At 35.3% G+C, this 17189-nt stretch overlaps 1 protein-coding gene across 14 annotated transcripts in view; it reads right to left on the bottom strand.

The window, feature by feature from the left end:
* Positions 1-17189, bottom strand: part of CEP152 (centrosomal protein 152) — an 81987-nt gene that overhangs the window by 8601 nt on the left and 56197 nt on the right. For 4 of the 14 annotated variants that reach the window (NM_001194998.2, XM_006720437.4, XM_017022015.2 and 1 more), the window contains 7 exons: positions 14666-14786; positions 10760-10927; positions 7213-7309; positions 6557-6660; positions 4264-4417; positions 3918-4021; positions 255-1605 (listed from right to left, as the gene is read on the bottom strand). In NM_001194998.2, the coding sequence (NP_001181927.1) occupies positions 566-1605; positions 3918-4021; positions 4264-4417; positions 6557-6660; positions 7213-7309; positions 10760-10927; positions 14666-14786 (1788 nt within the window). In that variant the 3' untranslated portion in view covers positions 255-565. Of the gene's footprint in view, positions 1-254; positions 1606-3917; positions 4022-4263; positions 4418-6556; positions 6661-7212; positions 7310-10759; positions 10928-14665; positions 14787-17189 lie in introns of those variants that run through there. The other 10 variants (XR_931769.4, XM_047432252.1, XM_011521375.4 and 7 more) reach the window with 8 other exon arrangements.

Here is a 17189-nt window from a genome sequence, read left to right on the forward strand (position 1 = left end):
CATAGCTATGTATTTTGTAGTAAACCCTGGAAAACCTCTAACTGAAAAAAAGATCAAAATTTTGAGTAGATATTGCTAGGAAAAGTCTATGTAGATTAAGTTCATAGCCTCATTAAACATGACTAATTTCAAAAACTAAATCTGACTAACACATACAAATAATCAAAATTTATGTTTTTTTCTGGGTGAATTTCAAACATGATGCCAATATGACATTTCTGTATTCTGAACCACAAAATAATTCATAACAATTCTACAGACCATATGCAAGTTTATTTAAATAAGTTAACACTGCAGAGTGAGTCAATTTATAAGTATAAAAATAGATGGTTTAGAAACCAAAAATAAGCACCACACAAAAGCAGATTATACATACACCATCAGGCCTTTGGAATATTAAGGCAACATAAATATCTCAAGCAATTTTAGAAGAATGCTTTACTTATATAACAGATGTTATTAAAACATCTCAAAAGAGGCAGGGCTCACAATTTTTTTCAGTATGAGGTCTTCCCTTCCATTTTTGTTAATATATTAATGATTCTTCTTAAATACTGTACCATAATTAGTCTAGATTAACAAATGGGCTATCAAAGCCACTATCTTGTTGGCTAGATAGCGGAACAATTAATTTTCTTGAAGGCTGCTGACACACTGAAGATGGTAATGTACTGCTCAGTTTTTTGAAATCTGACTTTAATCTATCAGCCTTATGACGAGATGGGTGTCCACAATTCACACTGATCTTTCCTGGCTCCAAATACGTGGTTTCTTCTGACAGGTATGGAGTTTGATAACGCTGACATTTCATTGTTTGACAAATCATATTACTTTCCTCTGTATCTGAAAGATAACCGGATGGTGAAAACTGTTTGGATTTAACAGATTCACTTGGTATTTCCAAAGTTCCTTGTGGCCTACCATGTACAAATGATGCTTCACGACTGTCAAAGGATAAGGTTGCACTGCTGGAAGGCCAGCCCAAGCAGTCACTAAGGTCCCCTCCATCTTTTACTGGAGGTTCCTGAACATCCAAACCTTGACTTTTCTCAGATGCAGCATTTTCACTTTCCATTAGTGGATTGCATTTATATACTTTTAAACCAAGTCTTTCATTAGAATCGCGAAAGGTTATATGCATGCATCCTGATTCAGAAGGACCAGGGGTACATCTAGGTGAGGGTTTATTTCCTAAGGTTCCAAGAAAGGGGTATGCAGCTGAATGCGGAAGTGATTCAGAACCATTATCACTGAGTAGGTCTTTCTTCTTGTGCAAACCAAAGCCTCCTTCACCTTCACAAGGAACAAACTCAGGAGAAACATTCCTTGGCAAACTGTTTAGGTGCTTGCAACTACCATCCCCAAACTGGAATTCCAAATGTGTCTCTTTGGATCCCACATGCTTTATGCTCTGATGCTCTGAGTTCTCTAACAGCCTTTGTAAGTTACAAGCTGCCCTCCTCTTGGGAGCTTGTTCGCACAGAGTTCTGGTGATGGTGTTTACACTATTTGATTTGCTTTCAATACAACATGGTATTTTCTGATTCACATCATTTCTTTTTGATTTTTTAACTGCAATCAGCATCTCTGAAGTTAGGGGCAGTGCTATTATGTGCAAGGAAACACGAAATTAAGAGAAAATTAATATTTAAAGGGAAGATTCATCCTTGAACAAAAAAATAAAAAAAATTAAAAATAAGAAAAAATTTATGTTTTTATACTGTATTCCCAAAGAATGCTTATATACTGTAATAATTCTTAAAGAAAATACATCAATGCTGGACATTTAAAAATATTCTTTTACATATATCCACTAGATAAAGCTTGGTAATTTTGTTACTAAGATCTGATATATAATTATTATTGCTATCCATCTGACCTATCATTTTCTGCAATAGATGTTATAGCAATTTCAAGATCCAGCCACAATGTTTTCAATCCTGCCCTGATTCTGATGTTAAGAATGGAGTTTCTGACAAGTTCGCTCAAAGAACCCCACCCACCCAATACCTACACATACACTTCTAGAATAGCTAAATAGACTTTCTGATTTAATTACCTAAGACACTAAATCTGATCAAAGACAAAGCAGCCACATAGCATGAAATTAGAGGCATTGTATCTCAGAGTAGCAAGCCCTAGAGTCCATGAAAAGGATTTGCTTCTCTACTGGGGACATTATTTGCACACTGTTGCCCCAGATCTAGAAAATTATTTTCTTGTTATATGTTACTGCCTTTTCATACCTAAGGTTCACATCACCATTCCAAAATTTATACAAATAATCTTTGGCTTGTACATGAGGAATGTTTACCAACATCAGACTCATGGACCCCTGAACAATCTCAGCTTCAAGTTTTCCAGAGGTTCAAGAACCCCATTTCCCCACTGATATGTTAAAAATCTCTCAGTGTGATTGGGAATTTACCAGTCTTTTTCATGTATTTCTATCAGCTCTTGCTTTATATAAAGCTGTATGATCTACAGAAAGAAAACAATTACAGTTTCTTGGGAGACTATTCCATTATCATTATGAACTATCAGCTTTGTCCCTTTTAATGCTAACTCTAATTTATCTAATCTTTTATTTACCTCTATAATTTATCTAATATCAACACTGCATTTGCTTGGTATATCATTCTCCATCCCCTGATTTTTAATTTTAGATGTTCTTCTTGTAAAAATAGCAAATTTCCACATTTTTAAAAACCCTATTTGAAAGTTGTGGTCTTTTAATAACTTATATGAGTTTAACCTACTTATATTTAGTGTGATTGTTGATGTTTCAAACTACTATTATGTCCTACTTACCCACGCTCTCTAGGTTTTTTTCCTCTTTCCTGATTTTGTTAGATTGAAAATGTTTTTTTCCAAGTTTTTCCTTTACCAGTTTTAAAGTTATACGTTCTATGTTTTTGTTGGTTACTCTTACTTTTTTTTTTTTTTTTTTTTTTTTTTTTGAGACAGGGTCTGCTCTGTTTCCCAGGCTGGAGTGCAGTGGTGCGATCACAGCTCACTGCAGCCTTGACCTCCCGGACTCAAGTGATCCTCCCATCTCAGCCTCCCAAGGCAAGTCGGCTCCCAGTTCCTGCTTGATATGGCTAGCCACCTGGAGCACTGCCCTGCTCCCAGATTCTTTGTTCCTGTTGTTGTTGCCCAGCTCAATATTGAGGTTGGGGAAAGGAGGGGAGAAGAAGAAATAAAGAGAGGATTAACCCCACCTGGTTGCTGTTGGTTTAGAACACCAACTAATTACCCCATTCATATCCCCTAGGCCCTCTATTTCTCCTGGAACATATCACCCTCATATGTGGAACAGTTTTGATATTGCTCCTAATTGCAATAGTCATCTCCCGGTGGTTTTGAACTGAGGTTTCCATCTTCCATCCTATACTGTCTTCTTTCTCTCAGGGATTTCTTGTAGCTTCTGGTCTATCCACTGCAAACTTTTTTTTTTTTTTTTTGAGACAGGGCCTCACTCTGTCACCCAGGCTGGAGTACAGTGGCACAATCATAGCTTACTGCAACCTCAAATTCCTGGGATCAAGGGATCCTCCCACCTCAGCCTCCCAAAGTGCTGGGATTACAGGTGTGAGCCATGATGCCTGGCCCACTGCAACTTTTTAAAACCCACTTATAATTTCTTCTTTTTCTCATTCTTTATTTGCTGTTTAAAATCTTTTCTATCATTTCGAGGGATGGAAGCAGCAATAGGAAACTGATGGGCATGCTCAGTCTGCCTACTTAAATTGGAAACTGTGTACTCTTTTTGCGTAAACTTCTAGTTTAAGTAAAACATACAAAACTTCACAAATTAACTCTCACTCCTTACCTTCCCTGCCTTCTTCATACTGAAAATATTAAATAGCTAAAGAAGAAAAGATAGAAAAACCATTTGGCGACTCACTTTGACATACCTGACTGTGTAGTTTTGCTTTGGGACTTACTAGAAATAGGTGTTTCCAGTAATTTTGCCATTGTAGCAAGTTTGCTAGCAGCATTCATAATCTTTTTCTCAGCCCTGTGGGGAATTCCAGAATATTAAAAATATAGTTTAAAGGAAAAAATGAGTTGCCTTAGCCCCATGGTTTCTGTTTTCCTATTGGCTCTGCCAACATTTAGGGTAGCACAGCCATAAACCTCTCTTAACCCCCTATGGCTGATCATGTAGAAATAGTTAATTTAGTGGTTAAGGAAAATGCTTTAAAAATGATAACATGTTGTCCTGGTAATCTCAGGACACATTGTTCAGACTGAACTCACCCTTCTTTTCCATCATCCTGCAAAATCTGTTGGAGGCAAATCAAATAATATTTGCGCATCTTTCGGGCGGTTTCTTGACGTTCTCGCAGTACCTCTGCTTTTACCATTTCTGCAGCTCGTTCCTTACTCTCCTGAATATAACGAAGCATGTCACCTATAGGGAAGTGAGAAAATGCCCACAGAATGTATGTTTATTAGCACTTTTTCAGAAACAGGAGGGGCAGACTTCAGATCAATTTTCTGGTAGATGAAGTGATTTTAAGTATAGTTTAAACATTATACTTTCCACAGTCATTAAAATGGAATATTTTAGATCATCATTTTGGTAGACTCAAATGAGAAGTACTCTATAAGTTCTTTCGGAATGATGACAGCTACATATAGTAAGGAAACATGGCATATTCCCCAGCTAAATTTTGTCATATTCTAAAACACTTAGCGAAGAAAATACTGTAAATATGAGGTACAGAAACTTAGTATTTCAATTGTACATTATGTCCAGTTAGGAAAAGAGAAAAATAAAATATAGAGAAAAGGTTAAGCAGAAAGAAAGGAAAAAGCAAACACAAAGACAGAAGAAAAGGAGGCAGTATGAGCTGGAGAGACTCATTCTTCTCTAGTGCTCTGAAAATTTACGTTCCATTATTTATTGAAAATTCTTTCAGCAGCACTTTTTGAGCATCTAACTAAATATAATATTACAATTCATAAGAGATATGTACAAAATGAGACTACAAGGAGGGTGATGGGACTTATAGTTGGCCTCTGAAATTTACATATAAACATAGCCCACAGCTTTCAAGTTTTTTTTTTTAACTCAATATATCTTTGATTAGGACTACTATTAGCTAAGGCTAACTTTTATTTTTTTTTTTAATAAATCCAAGACTACATCCTACATCTAGAATTTCACCATCTCTGTTATATTAAGGATACCAATTCATACAGGAATCTTCCTGTTAATGTCAGTAAGCATCTGAAAATTAGTGGTTCTATGCAAAAATACTAACTGGGAGACTGTTTTTCATTATTTGAAATGGAAAATGAAATGCAGTACATGTCAAAACAAAACCTCCAACCAACTTTCTAAAAAATAACTAAAACATAATATACACACATACATACAAGTTATCACATTAGGATGAAAACATGCTTAAAATTCCACTTCCCAATTAATACATTATTAACAAAAAGTTGCGTTGCTTGTAGCAATATGCCCTTTATTAGCACCAGTAACAACGGAGAAGCAAATTCCCTTATAAATACCGAATGAGCTTTGTAGAACATCTACACGTGATTCTGAATCTACCAATTATATTTGAAACTTCAGACTTTTCCTGCTCTTTTTGTTAAAAAGAAATGTAATTTTAGGAAGTTAATATACATTTTTCCTATATAAACACTACTTATTGTTTTGGGACATATATCCATTCTATGCATATTAGAATTAGAAACCAAGAAGTATTCAAAACAGGGAAAACACACATCAGGAGAATGCTCTACAGGATATGCTGGCACAACCTGGTACTGACAAGGACTTGATAAATTTATAGCTATGAGAAATAATAACCAGAAACAACAGAACAATTGCTAACTAGATCCACTTCTACAGTCCTTAAAAGTTTATGGTAGGAGGCCGGGCACAGTGGCTCACGCCCGTAATCCCAGCACTTTGCGAGGCCGAAGCGGGTGGATCACCTGAGGTCAGGAGTTCGAGATCAGCCTGGCCAACACGGTGAAACCCTGTCTCTACTAAAAATACAAAAATTAGCTGGGTGTGGTGATGCATGTCTGTAATCCCAGCTACTCAGGAGGCTGAGGCTGGAGAATTGCTTGAATCCAGGAGGCGGAGGTTGCAGTGAGCCGAGACTGCACCACTGCATTCCAGCCTGGTTGACAGAGTGAGATTCCGTCTCAAAAAAAAAAAGTTTATGGTAGGAAGTAATAGTTAATTGCTCATTTAAAACCCATGTGACATTTTCTTTACTACAAATTAGTTAAGTTGTAAGATTATTAACTTTTCAGTTTAATACTAGTGTCCAAAAAGAAACAAGAAAATCAACAATATAAACATAAGACGATTCTCACATCACTTCCAAAAGATATTATTTGGGAAAAATGATCAATGACTACATAATTTTGAAAAGGTATCAATAATCTCTTTTAAGATTGAAGAAAAAGGTAATTTGGAAAATTCCCTAGAAGAACTACTGCTGGTAAACTCTGAGTTTACTTTAACAGTGATAATAAAAAAGGCCCAAGCCATCCTTAAAATCTTCAGAATTAAACTTACATTTAATTTTTTTTACAGCTTTAATGTACTGCCCACGAAGTTCTTCCAAGGCTCCCCCACTGCATGGCAGGCAAGCATTTTCAATGGCCCCTGCTGACAATGACCTAAAAAACAAACCAAAGATTACAAAAACAGAAATGGTAAGTGAAAAATTTCATTTGAAAAATATATATGTATCCATATACTCTAATAAAGTTAACTGAGAAGTGCTAAAAATCTCATCTAGAACAATCTCCACTATACAGTTATTTAAAATAGGGGAAAAATGGAAACAACATAAATGTTATGGTTGCTTCAATAAATAACAGTAAATCCACATGAAAATTTATGCAGGTATTGAAAAACATATGTAGGAGAATATCTAATAACATGGAGAAATGCTTATCTAGTAATATTAATAAAAAGTTATAAAATACCTTATACTATAGCCTCAATTTTAAAAACACATTGTGCATGTGGAGTATGTGTAGAAAGAGGCTTAAATGATATAAAACAAGAGGTCACTAGAGGGTATCTTCAGGAAATAAGGTTTTGGGGGATTTTCTTCTTTTTTATACTTTTTGCTGTATAACAAAAAAAATTGATACTTAAAAAAATTTAAAGATACTTGTACTTAGATTTCTTTAAAATAGCACTTTAAAATAGTAAAAGTATACCTTGGTGGTGTTTTACAAAGTGTTTGCAATTCTTCCAATTTATTCTTCATGTCGTTGTTTTCTTCTATTAATTCTTCAACAACTTTATTATTCTCTTCTATAACAGAAAGTTTATAGTATATTAGACAGTTAAAAATTTTTTAAGCCTTCTTTTCCCTTAAGTTCCCAATACAAATGTTTATAGAAGAGACTGTGCAATTTCCAGTCGCTTTTCTGTAACGTTCATCCCCTTAGAAACCCTACTCAGACCATTCCCTTGCTCTGTTTTCTCAGCACTTAAAATCTGTATCCCATCTTCTTCTTGCTTTGGGTTACACACTGTCCTGGAATTGGGTTTCAACTGTTTCAGATGCCTGTGTTTTGTTTTCCAACTGTGCTGAAGCTCTGTAGAAACCTACTAGGTTTTCTAATTCCATGTTCCCTATGGATCCTGGTAGACAGTTTATGCTCATATAAACGATCATTGAACATGCACCTCGATATAAAACAAAAAGAAAGTTAACCTTAAGTAGGTGTCTTTTTCAGAAATAATGTAAGATTTTCAATTCTTTGAACTTTGTGTGTGTGTGTGTGTGTGTGAGCAACAAGGCTGTTTATTTCACCTGTGTGCAGGCGGGCTGAGTCCGAAAAGAGAGTCAGCAAAGGGTGATGGGATTATCATTAGTTCTTACAGGTTTTGGGATAGGCGGTGGAGTTAAGAGCAATGTTTTGGGGGCAGGGGGTGGATCTCACAAAGTACATTCTCAAGGGTGGGGAGAGTTACAAAGAACCTTCTTAAGGGTGGGGAGATTACAATTCTTTGAACTTTTAAAAAGAGGATGAGGAAACTGATAAGAGTCCATGTGGTATGAAGGAAAACACATGAATTTCAGAGTCAGAGACATCAGTTTACATTCTAACTTTGCTGCTTACAAGGTTGATAAGCCTAGGAAAAATTAACCTTTCTGAACTTTTCTTCACATGTTAACTTACAGATTATAATAGAAATAAAACAACAAATGCACAACACCTACACAAGGCCTGGAAATACCAATATAAATGTGAACATGGCATCTCGTGTTTCCTGTGATGCTACCCTCTCAACACTCCGTAAGTTGAGGAACAAAATTACTCTATTCCCCCTGGTGATGGATATAACTTTTTGTTTTAAACAACTCACTCCCACCCCATCTATTTTTTAATAAACGCTACCAAGAAAGTGGAAAAATAGAATTTAAGAAACAAAGAAGCAATCTCAATAGCAAAGATATAATAACCTACTAAAGTTATATTAAGAAAAAATTTCAATTAAACTATTGACTTAAATTCTGACCCAGACCCTTTGTATCAACTCATTGTTTTGAGTGATATATCAACTTTCTTCGATTATTTGCAAGTCTACGAGTTTTAGAAGATATCAGCTTCAAAAAACACTGTGTAGAATAGTATGGTGCTAAATATTATTATTTATAAATAATAGTCATATCCAACTGCCCTTATCGCCATATTCTGTAAAACAAATTGTCTTGGTTTTCATCATATTTTAACATATCTATGTTTTAAATATACTACAGTTGGACAAATAACTCATTTACTCTCCTGGCCTCTACTAAAGAGCTAAGTAATCACAAAATGAATTGCAGTTGTTAAATTTTTAATCTCAAAATTCTTAAAACCCTTTCTGGTCTTAAAGTAATTATTATCTATCTCTTAGTAATAAGTACTAAGAGTAATAAGTGCCTTAGTAATAAGCAGTCAGTGGTAGTTACAGGTGGCTTCTTTTAGCAGTATTTCCCGAGTTGTGCTATGGTGCCAGGTGTGCTAAGTGCTGGAACAGGACTTGATCCTTATTGCTATAAAGACTACACTCCAAAGGGAAGTACAGACAGCAAATGATTACAAGGATGGTGAATGTTATAAAAAGCATAGGAACTATGGGGAGTGTATAACAGGAGGACTAAACAGGTCTGCAGTGGTTAGGAAAGCCTCCCTGAGGAAGTAATGTATTGGGGAAAAGATGAGAAGGAGTTAGCCAGCCAAATGAGATCAGGATGTTTTGGTGAAGGGAGAAAACAATGAAATCCATGCTATGGCTCTACTGAGAGAAATTAAGAGAGCTGGGGGAAGACAAGGTTGAAGGGGCTGGCAGGTGCTGGATCAAGAACTTTTCAAACCCCGTTAAACTAAGTGTTTTTGGTTTTATACTGAAGGCCATGGCAAGCCACTGAAGAGCTTTAAACAAGAGTGTCATGTTTCAATTCACTTTTTAAAAAGGTTGCTCCAGCTACCCTATGGAGAATGGATTAGAGGGGCTAGACTAGAAGCATAAAGAGTCAGGGAATTATTGCCAGTGTCCAGGCAAGAGAAAGAAGTGGATGTACAAAATAAACTTATTAACCTGGTCTTTTCTGAATGACACCATTATTTAGGACCCTGGCATTTTGTTTTTTGTCCATTTAAATATTTATTATCTGGTATGTGGTGGGCACCATGGCTATTAGGATGAACAAGATATGGCATATTCCTTCTCCTCAGAAAATTCTTGGAGAATTTGGAGAAGGTATCTGACAAGTGACCAAACAATTACAATACAGAATGGTAATGGTGATAATAGAGGAAGAGCCAATGCTACAGGGCCGCACAAGAGCAGCCCACTTCACCCTGACTAGGGAAAATCAAGAAGGGCTTTGCAGATAAAGCATCTTCTGAGTTGAATCCTAAAGGATGAGAGTAAGACTAAAAAGAATGTTGGGGAAAAGTACAGGACAGAATACAAACATCATATGCAATGAAGGTCCAGCAGTAAAAGAAATAGGACCAGCTCAGGAATCGGAAGCATTTCAAATGTAGAGTATAGCGTATAGGCTATAAGCGATAGTGAAAGGTAAGAAGAGGGAGCAGCGATCTAAGCCCCAAAACTTCCCTTCTTCAGAGGGGCACTGGGAAATGGTAGAAAATATCCCTTTCCAAATGTCTCACAGCATTGTGATGAATGGACTAGAAGGAGGCCAGTCCAGACCCTCACGCCCTTGTTTATGCCTTTTCCCTCTATCTCAAACGTTGTTCTCCTTGGCAAACACCTCTATTTTTCAAGGCTTAGTCAAACCTTTCTTAACTTTAATAAGAGGTAGAATTAACAATCCTCTTTCTGAGGAAAACACTGCCAACAGCATTCAACGTTTAATTATTTGTTAATCTGTTGTTAGATCTCCTCACTTAACCAAAAGCTTCTTGAAGGAAGGGAACACATCTCCACCAGAACTGGAATTTTGTATGATTTATTCACTGCTGCATCCCCAGTGCTTAGAAGCCTGCTTGACGTATACTGGGCCCTCAATATCTGTTTAATCAAGAAAGGAAGAAAGGAATGTGACCTTTTAATCAGAGCTGAAATCTTCCTCTTTTGAGTTTTGTAATAATAATTTGATTAGTAAAAATAAGATCCAAATTAGTTTATATTAATCCCAAAAGAGGATCAGTGCACACATTAACTAAAATGTCACATTTGAACATTTCAACAAGGATCAAAGAAATTCATATTGGTAGCAGTGCTACTTTAAATGCTAACCTCCAATTTTTTCCACTACAGCTTTGTGCTTCCTTTCTAAATGCTGAAGATGCCTACAGCATTTCTCCAGTTTTCCTTTCAGATCTTGACATTCCTGCTTTGCCTTTTCAAGTTCTTGGAAGCAGTGTCCACAGCATAAATCCTTAATTTCAAGGACCTTTTTCTTATCTGCAAAAATTAAATGACAGAAAACTTTTATATCAGTTTAGACCAAGAACTATCATTAAAAAAAAAAAAAAAAGACAGAAAGAAAAGCAGATGACTCATGACTAAAGGCTACAGCACGACTGAAAGAGTGTGATGCTTAAGATAGAGAGACATGGGTTTACATATTGTTTCTGCTGCTTACTGGCTGTGTGACTTGGAGCATATTAATTAACTTGTCTAAGGCACTACTGGATACTACCATCTACTTTAAAAATAGTCATGAAACCTATTGCTCTGGATCTTGGTATTGAATACCATTCCCTACTAAAGGGAGTCAAGGATCTTCAAGAAATGGCTGACTCCAGTACTGGGGAGGGTATATACAAAATAAGACTGAAATATCTTCCTATGCCAGAAAGTAAGAAAGTACTCAAAAATACAGGCATGTCACAAGGACATAGGAGCCAGTTTGAAGGAGCTCCACTAGCTGAATCTGGGACAATTTGAGCACTAATGAAATATAGTAATGAATTATAAAGTATTAAAAATAGGAATTTATGAGTCATACCAATAATTTTATGAATGGTAGGTAGGTAAGTGGGTTGGTAAGTAGGTAGGTAGATGGATCGATGGACAGAGAGATAAAATAAATACACAAATGAGAGGAAAGGATTCTTGATTCAACATGCTTAGTGCCAACTGGGATAAATAGAGGGAGGAAGTTGGAAGAATTATAATTTCACAACCACCATAGTAAAGACTGGATCAAGCAAGAATCATCAACGGTTGCCAAATATAAGAGAAGGTTTTCATGAGAGGAAGATATTTGCATGGTCTTAAAAAGTGTCTCCCACAGATTGCTTATCAACTGATAAGCAAGGGTGAAAAAAAAACAGTAATTATATAGTGAAGAAATTAGACAACATATTCACTAGGTAATGAAAAGTAACCTCACCAATAAGACATATGGACACCACAATTTTTAGATGTAACAACATATCACCCCTTGCAGTGCTCCAGCTGAGAAAACACAACCTGAATCAACCATGAAGAAACACCAGACAAACCCCAAATGAGAAAAGTTCTGTTAAAAAAAAATGAAGGTGGAAGCAGAGAATATTTCTCAAAAATGTCAATGTCATGAAAGACAAAGAGAGGCTGTGGAAATGTTCTAGATTAAAGGAGGCTAAAGATACATTACAACTAAATGTAACAGCTGACCCTAGACAAACGTCTGTACTGGAAGAGAAAAAAAAAATGCTATAAGACATTATTGGGTCAATTGACAAAATTAGAATACAACAGTAGATTAATACAATACTTTAATGTTAAATTTACTGTACTAAGGTTAAACAAGAAAATATTCATATTCCTGGAAAATACAGTCTGAAGTACTTAGCCATAAAAGTCACAATGTATATATAACTTACCCTCCAATGGTTCATAAAAAAATGAAATATTCACATACACATATATACATAAGAGCACAAAATGGAGTAAAATGTTAATAATAGGTGTATCTCATTAAAGGGTATGTGAATGTTCTTCGCAACTATTTTTCTTTTTGCTATTTTTCTATATGTTTGAAATTATTTCCAAGTTTAAAAAATGATTTAAAACTTTTAGAAGACGTAAATATATAAGAACTGTTTGGCACAGTAGCTGGCACAGAGCAAGTACACAATAAATAACAGACATTGTCATTAGTAATACATAAAATTTATAAAATTAAAATATACAAAAATGATTAAAAAGTAGACTATTAACATAAGTGATATAATAAAGCAGGAATACAAGTTAGCACAGGCTCAGGGGCCAAAATGTTACTGTAAAGTCATTGATCCAGCAAAATTATTCTTAGCTCTCTCCTGACATTTTAGTTTGATTTAAGTGGTGCCATTTATGTTAATGAACATTAAAGGATTAATGAAACATCACAATGGTACCATAAATTGCATTTATATTTTTCATCTAGGATACTGTTGTAAAATTGGAACTCGTGCAAATACCACTAACAAGAGAACAGATAACTCATAGTATATTCATACACTGAAATACTATGTAGCAATGAAAATGAATGAACTAGAGCTATTGCATCAACACAGACAAATCTTAGTAGCATGCTGTTAAACAGGAAAAAAGCAAGTTACAAAGAATATAGAGTATTAAACTATTTTTATAATGTTAAAACACAAAAAGGCAACAACTTTTTGAGGGTACATACACATAATTAAAACATTAAAAAAGACAGTAATTTTTGAAAATCAGAATATTTGTTAGCTCAGACTGGGGAGAGGTTGCAGGCATAGAACTGTGGTCAACAGCACTGGTGATGTTCTGTACCTTAAGCTGAATAATGGGTTCCTGGTTGCTAGGCTTCATAACTTACAGATGCATACATATATTCTTTGAATGAACTAAGTATTTCATAATTAATGTTTTAAGTACTTCAAATAATAATGAGATATTAGGACAACATAACCAAACATCCAACAGTGGTACTCTCTGGTGGTAGGATTTTAAAGGACTTTATCACTTAATACATGTTTTGTATTATTTAATCCTTTCTAATGAATTTATTAATGTGTTTGTTTTTAAGGGAAAAAAGACTAAAGAAAAATATTTTTATAGTCTGATTTTTCTTTGGCCAAAACTAATTGCTTTTATATTTATAGGACTTCCTAAAGCTAAGTAACATCCAAAACTTGTTTCTACCCATTCATTTCACAGATTAAGATAGAATTCTCAGGCTATTCCAAACAGGGCATAAAAAGTACAATGCAAAATACAAATTAAGGTAATATTATCATCCACTGAATTGGCAGTAAGATATTCTCAGCCACCTAGAACCTAGAAGTAGGGGAAAAGGGTTTGTGAACAATGAGAAAGGCAGAGATGGTATAGGCAGAGATTCTCTAAGATTCTGGTAACATTGCCTTCTGAATTAGAAATGTGTGCAAACTGAGGTTATTTACTTAGTAGGTATGACTGGCCTTGGCAATTATTAGTTCTTTTCCAGGTTACATTAGAAACAGCAAATAAGCAGCAGAGAGAGGCTGTTGCGTTTGTGTGGGGAGGAAAGGAGTAGGCTGCAAAGGGTCAAGAAGCTAAAAGAGATGGGAGCTAATAAAGGATTTGCAAATTTCTAGCTCTGAAATCTCCATGAATAGGCAATATAAGTCCTATACTCCTCAGTAAGCTCTGAATACAAGCGGCTCTAGTACAGTATAAGAATTCTTTTGTCATGATGAAGAGTCTAAGTCATTAAGGAAAAGTTAAACTATTAATTCATCACTCTGCCATACGTTGGAAAGGAAGAGATTAAAAACACTGCCCAGGCCCTCAGAAAAACTCACAAATCAATTAGAAAACATCTAATACATTTCAGAAAGATTTCCATTAAAAAGTGATTGAAATTAGTTTCAGTAATTTGAATGAAAAAGTCTGTATTACTTGGCAATTCTCTGATGTGAAACCCTTGATTTCAGGGAATAAAAACATGACTTCTCCATTAAAACTCTCATGATTCTCCTTGTAACAAGAATCAGTTGTGAATGAAGGGAAAACCATAAATAGAAGAAGAGGGCCTAAATTAACCCTCTTATCTAAATACAAAATGAAATCTAGGAAGAGGGGACATTAAGTCAGACGATTATTACCCATTTGTTCACATCTATGATCTCCTTTTATCCTCAAAGCAACCCTTCAGATGGGTGATTATGGATGCTACAAAGACTGGTGGGAACAAAATCCAATTACCAGCTTCTGCTTCTGTTGCTTGTAAGGCCAAGGGCTGAGCATGGTGTCCAGCAGCAGGTCCAGGGTCTCCTTGGCCAGTGCCCTGGCTGGCAGAATCCTTAGAGAGCTCGGCCATATTTCTCTGAAATAAAGTATCTTCAAAGTTAATGCTTAGTAAAAATCTTTATACAATTTTATATTTAAAATGCTAATATTAAAAATACAAAGAGAAAACACTACCTGAAAAAAATCTTGCCTGAACTATCTATCGCCAATATTTTTCTTAGGGTGTTATATAAGTACTGTCACTGTACTAGGAACTAGCTTCCTATGAAACTTTCCAAATAAGAACACTGTCTGACAGGCGACTGGTGGGCAGCTATGAGACAGACAGAAGATATGGTTTGCACATTATATATGTGAATTTGAGATTTTTCAATGGTTTACGTGATTAAACCACATGAAAGACAATATAAAATCAGAATTGTTCTTGAAAATCTAGAACATTTTTACTACAGCAAGGAACAAGTTAATTAGCAAGTATAATGCTAACCCTCTGCCTCCTATGAATTGAAAATAACAGTTAAAAATCATTTTAAATTTATATAGTACTTCATATGCTTCTAAATACTTTAACATACACAGTAATTTTGTAAGGAAGGCCAGCTGAATGCCAAAGTTAAGGACAGAAACTGAGGCTTAGCTAAATTAAACATCTTGCACAAGACCATTTCTTCACTAATATTTATTGAACGTTTTTATGTTCCAGTCCTTGTCACAGCAATACAGCTACTAAATCAATGGATTTTTCATTTTTGGTTTTTGTTTTGAGATGGAGTCCTCCTCTATCGGCCAGGCTGAAGGGCATTGGCGCGATCTCAGCTCACTGCAACCTCCACCTCCCAGTTCAAGCGATTCTCCTGCCTCAACCCTCGTGATCCGCCTGCTTTGGCCTCCCAAAGTACTGGGATTACAGGTGTGAGCCACCACGCTCAGCCAAATCAATGGATTTTTATGGTAATGTTTTCAGATTTAAGATGACTACTAAATCGGAAAGGAACAGAATAGGTGGTATGGAGAAAGTAGTCTTACTGATTATTTAAAACATACTATATATGCCTGATTCTAGAAGCCTTGATTTTGATTATGAGAAACCACTTAATTGACTGTCAGAAAACCTACTTACAATGTCCAACAGAAGCAGAGGTTAGCAATTATAGAGAAGAGGCAATCAAGAAGCTATGGGTTTGAGGTCAAAAGGAGTAGGAAAAGCTGAACCAAAATGCAGTCAGTGCTTCCAGTTTTTACTCAAAACTGGGGAAGAAAAGTCAAGATAACAGAAAAGGGAGAAAAGCAACAACCTTTTTGTCTCAGTTTTAACTTGACTTTGATGGTAAAAGAGACAACATACATCCTTAAGTTTGCTTGAAAATTTTGTTCCATTTGATATTTGTTTTATCTGTTATGAACTACTGTATTAATATATTTTGATATGGCATTCATTTTCTTGAAAGCTATATTTTTCATTCATTGCATCCTCTCCATTTAAAAAAACTTTTGATTGTCTCAGTTATTTTAATGAGGACTTGTTTTTATATATTAATAAACCATCTTTTGTTTTAATTTCCATGAACAATTTTTAAAACTAGAGAGTTAATAAATTATAAATTATAGTTCCTCACATTTACAGCACCTATGTAACAAATTTAAAATCACTGCTCTATAATCATAGCTTTACCTCAAGGTCCTGAGTGAAGATAGCTCGAAAATGGCAGAAGGTCAAGTATTACTTCTATGACAAATTCCAGATTAGGCATTTCAAAGCCATCCTTTTCTCAGGAATGGAATCTGACCCACCCAACAAAAGCCGTAAACATCTAAATTCTTAGCCAGATTATGTGATTCTGTCTCCATAGACTTATGAGCCTCATTAAGTCACACAGATGATCTTATACTGCTTGCACAATTATAAGCCCTGTAAAAAGACTCCAGGGTTGATTTTATATGTATATATTAATGGTAGGAGAAAGGTGTCATAGTTTCTTGATTTTTATAACAGATTTTATAACTGTTATAAAAATCGAAACATGCTTACAAACGAAAGCATGTAAACATGATTTTCCCATCATTTCTCATCTCCAAATCTGCTATAATTTTTTAATTATATGTTTTCTCCAAGTTATTTTAATTATTTTCTCCAAAAAATCTCAATTAAGTGTGAAGCAGTATTCATGGGAAGTGATCTTGCCCAGTAAATTTTACATTGAAGGCAACTACTCGGTAGCAACATCTTTGTGAGGTCAAGGATAAAAATATCAACTGGGGTGAAGTAGGATGGAGTGAGCTGATCTTTCAGGTCCCTTCTGGCTCTAAAATTCTATACTGTTTCAAATGCAGGACCCAGAAAGGCTAAGCTGTGCCATGCATATCCTACCCAAACCCAAGGAATTAGGCCGGGGATTTGTATTTTATTTTTCCAGTGAGCAACTATGTGATTGCCCAATATAATAATCTAGTTATCATCGAATATGGAACTGAAACTCAA

Source organism: Homo sapiens, chromosome 15, assembly GCF_000001405.40.
Source record: "Homo sapiens chromosome 15, GRCh38.p14 Primary Assembly".
In the NCBI taxonomy this organism is placed as follows: Eukaryota; Metazoa; Chordata; class Mammalia; order Primates; family Hominidae; genus Homo; species Homo sapiens.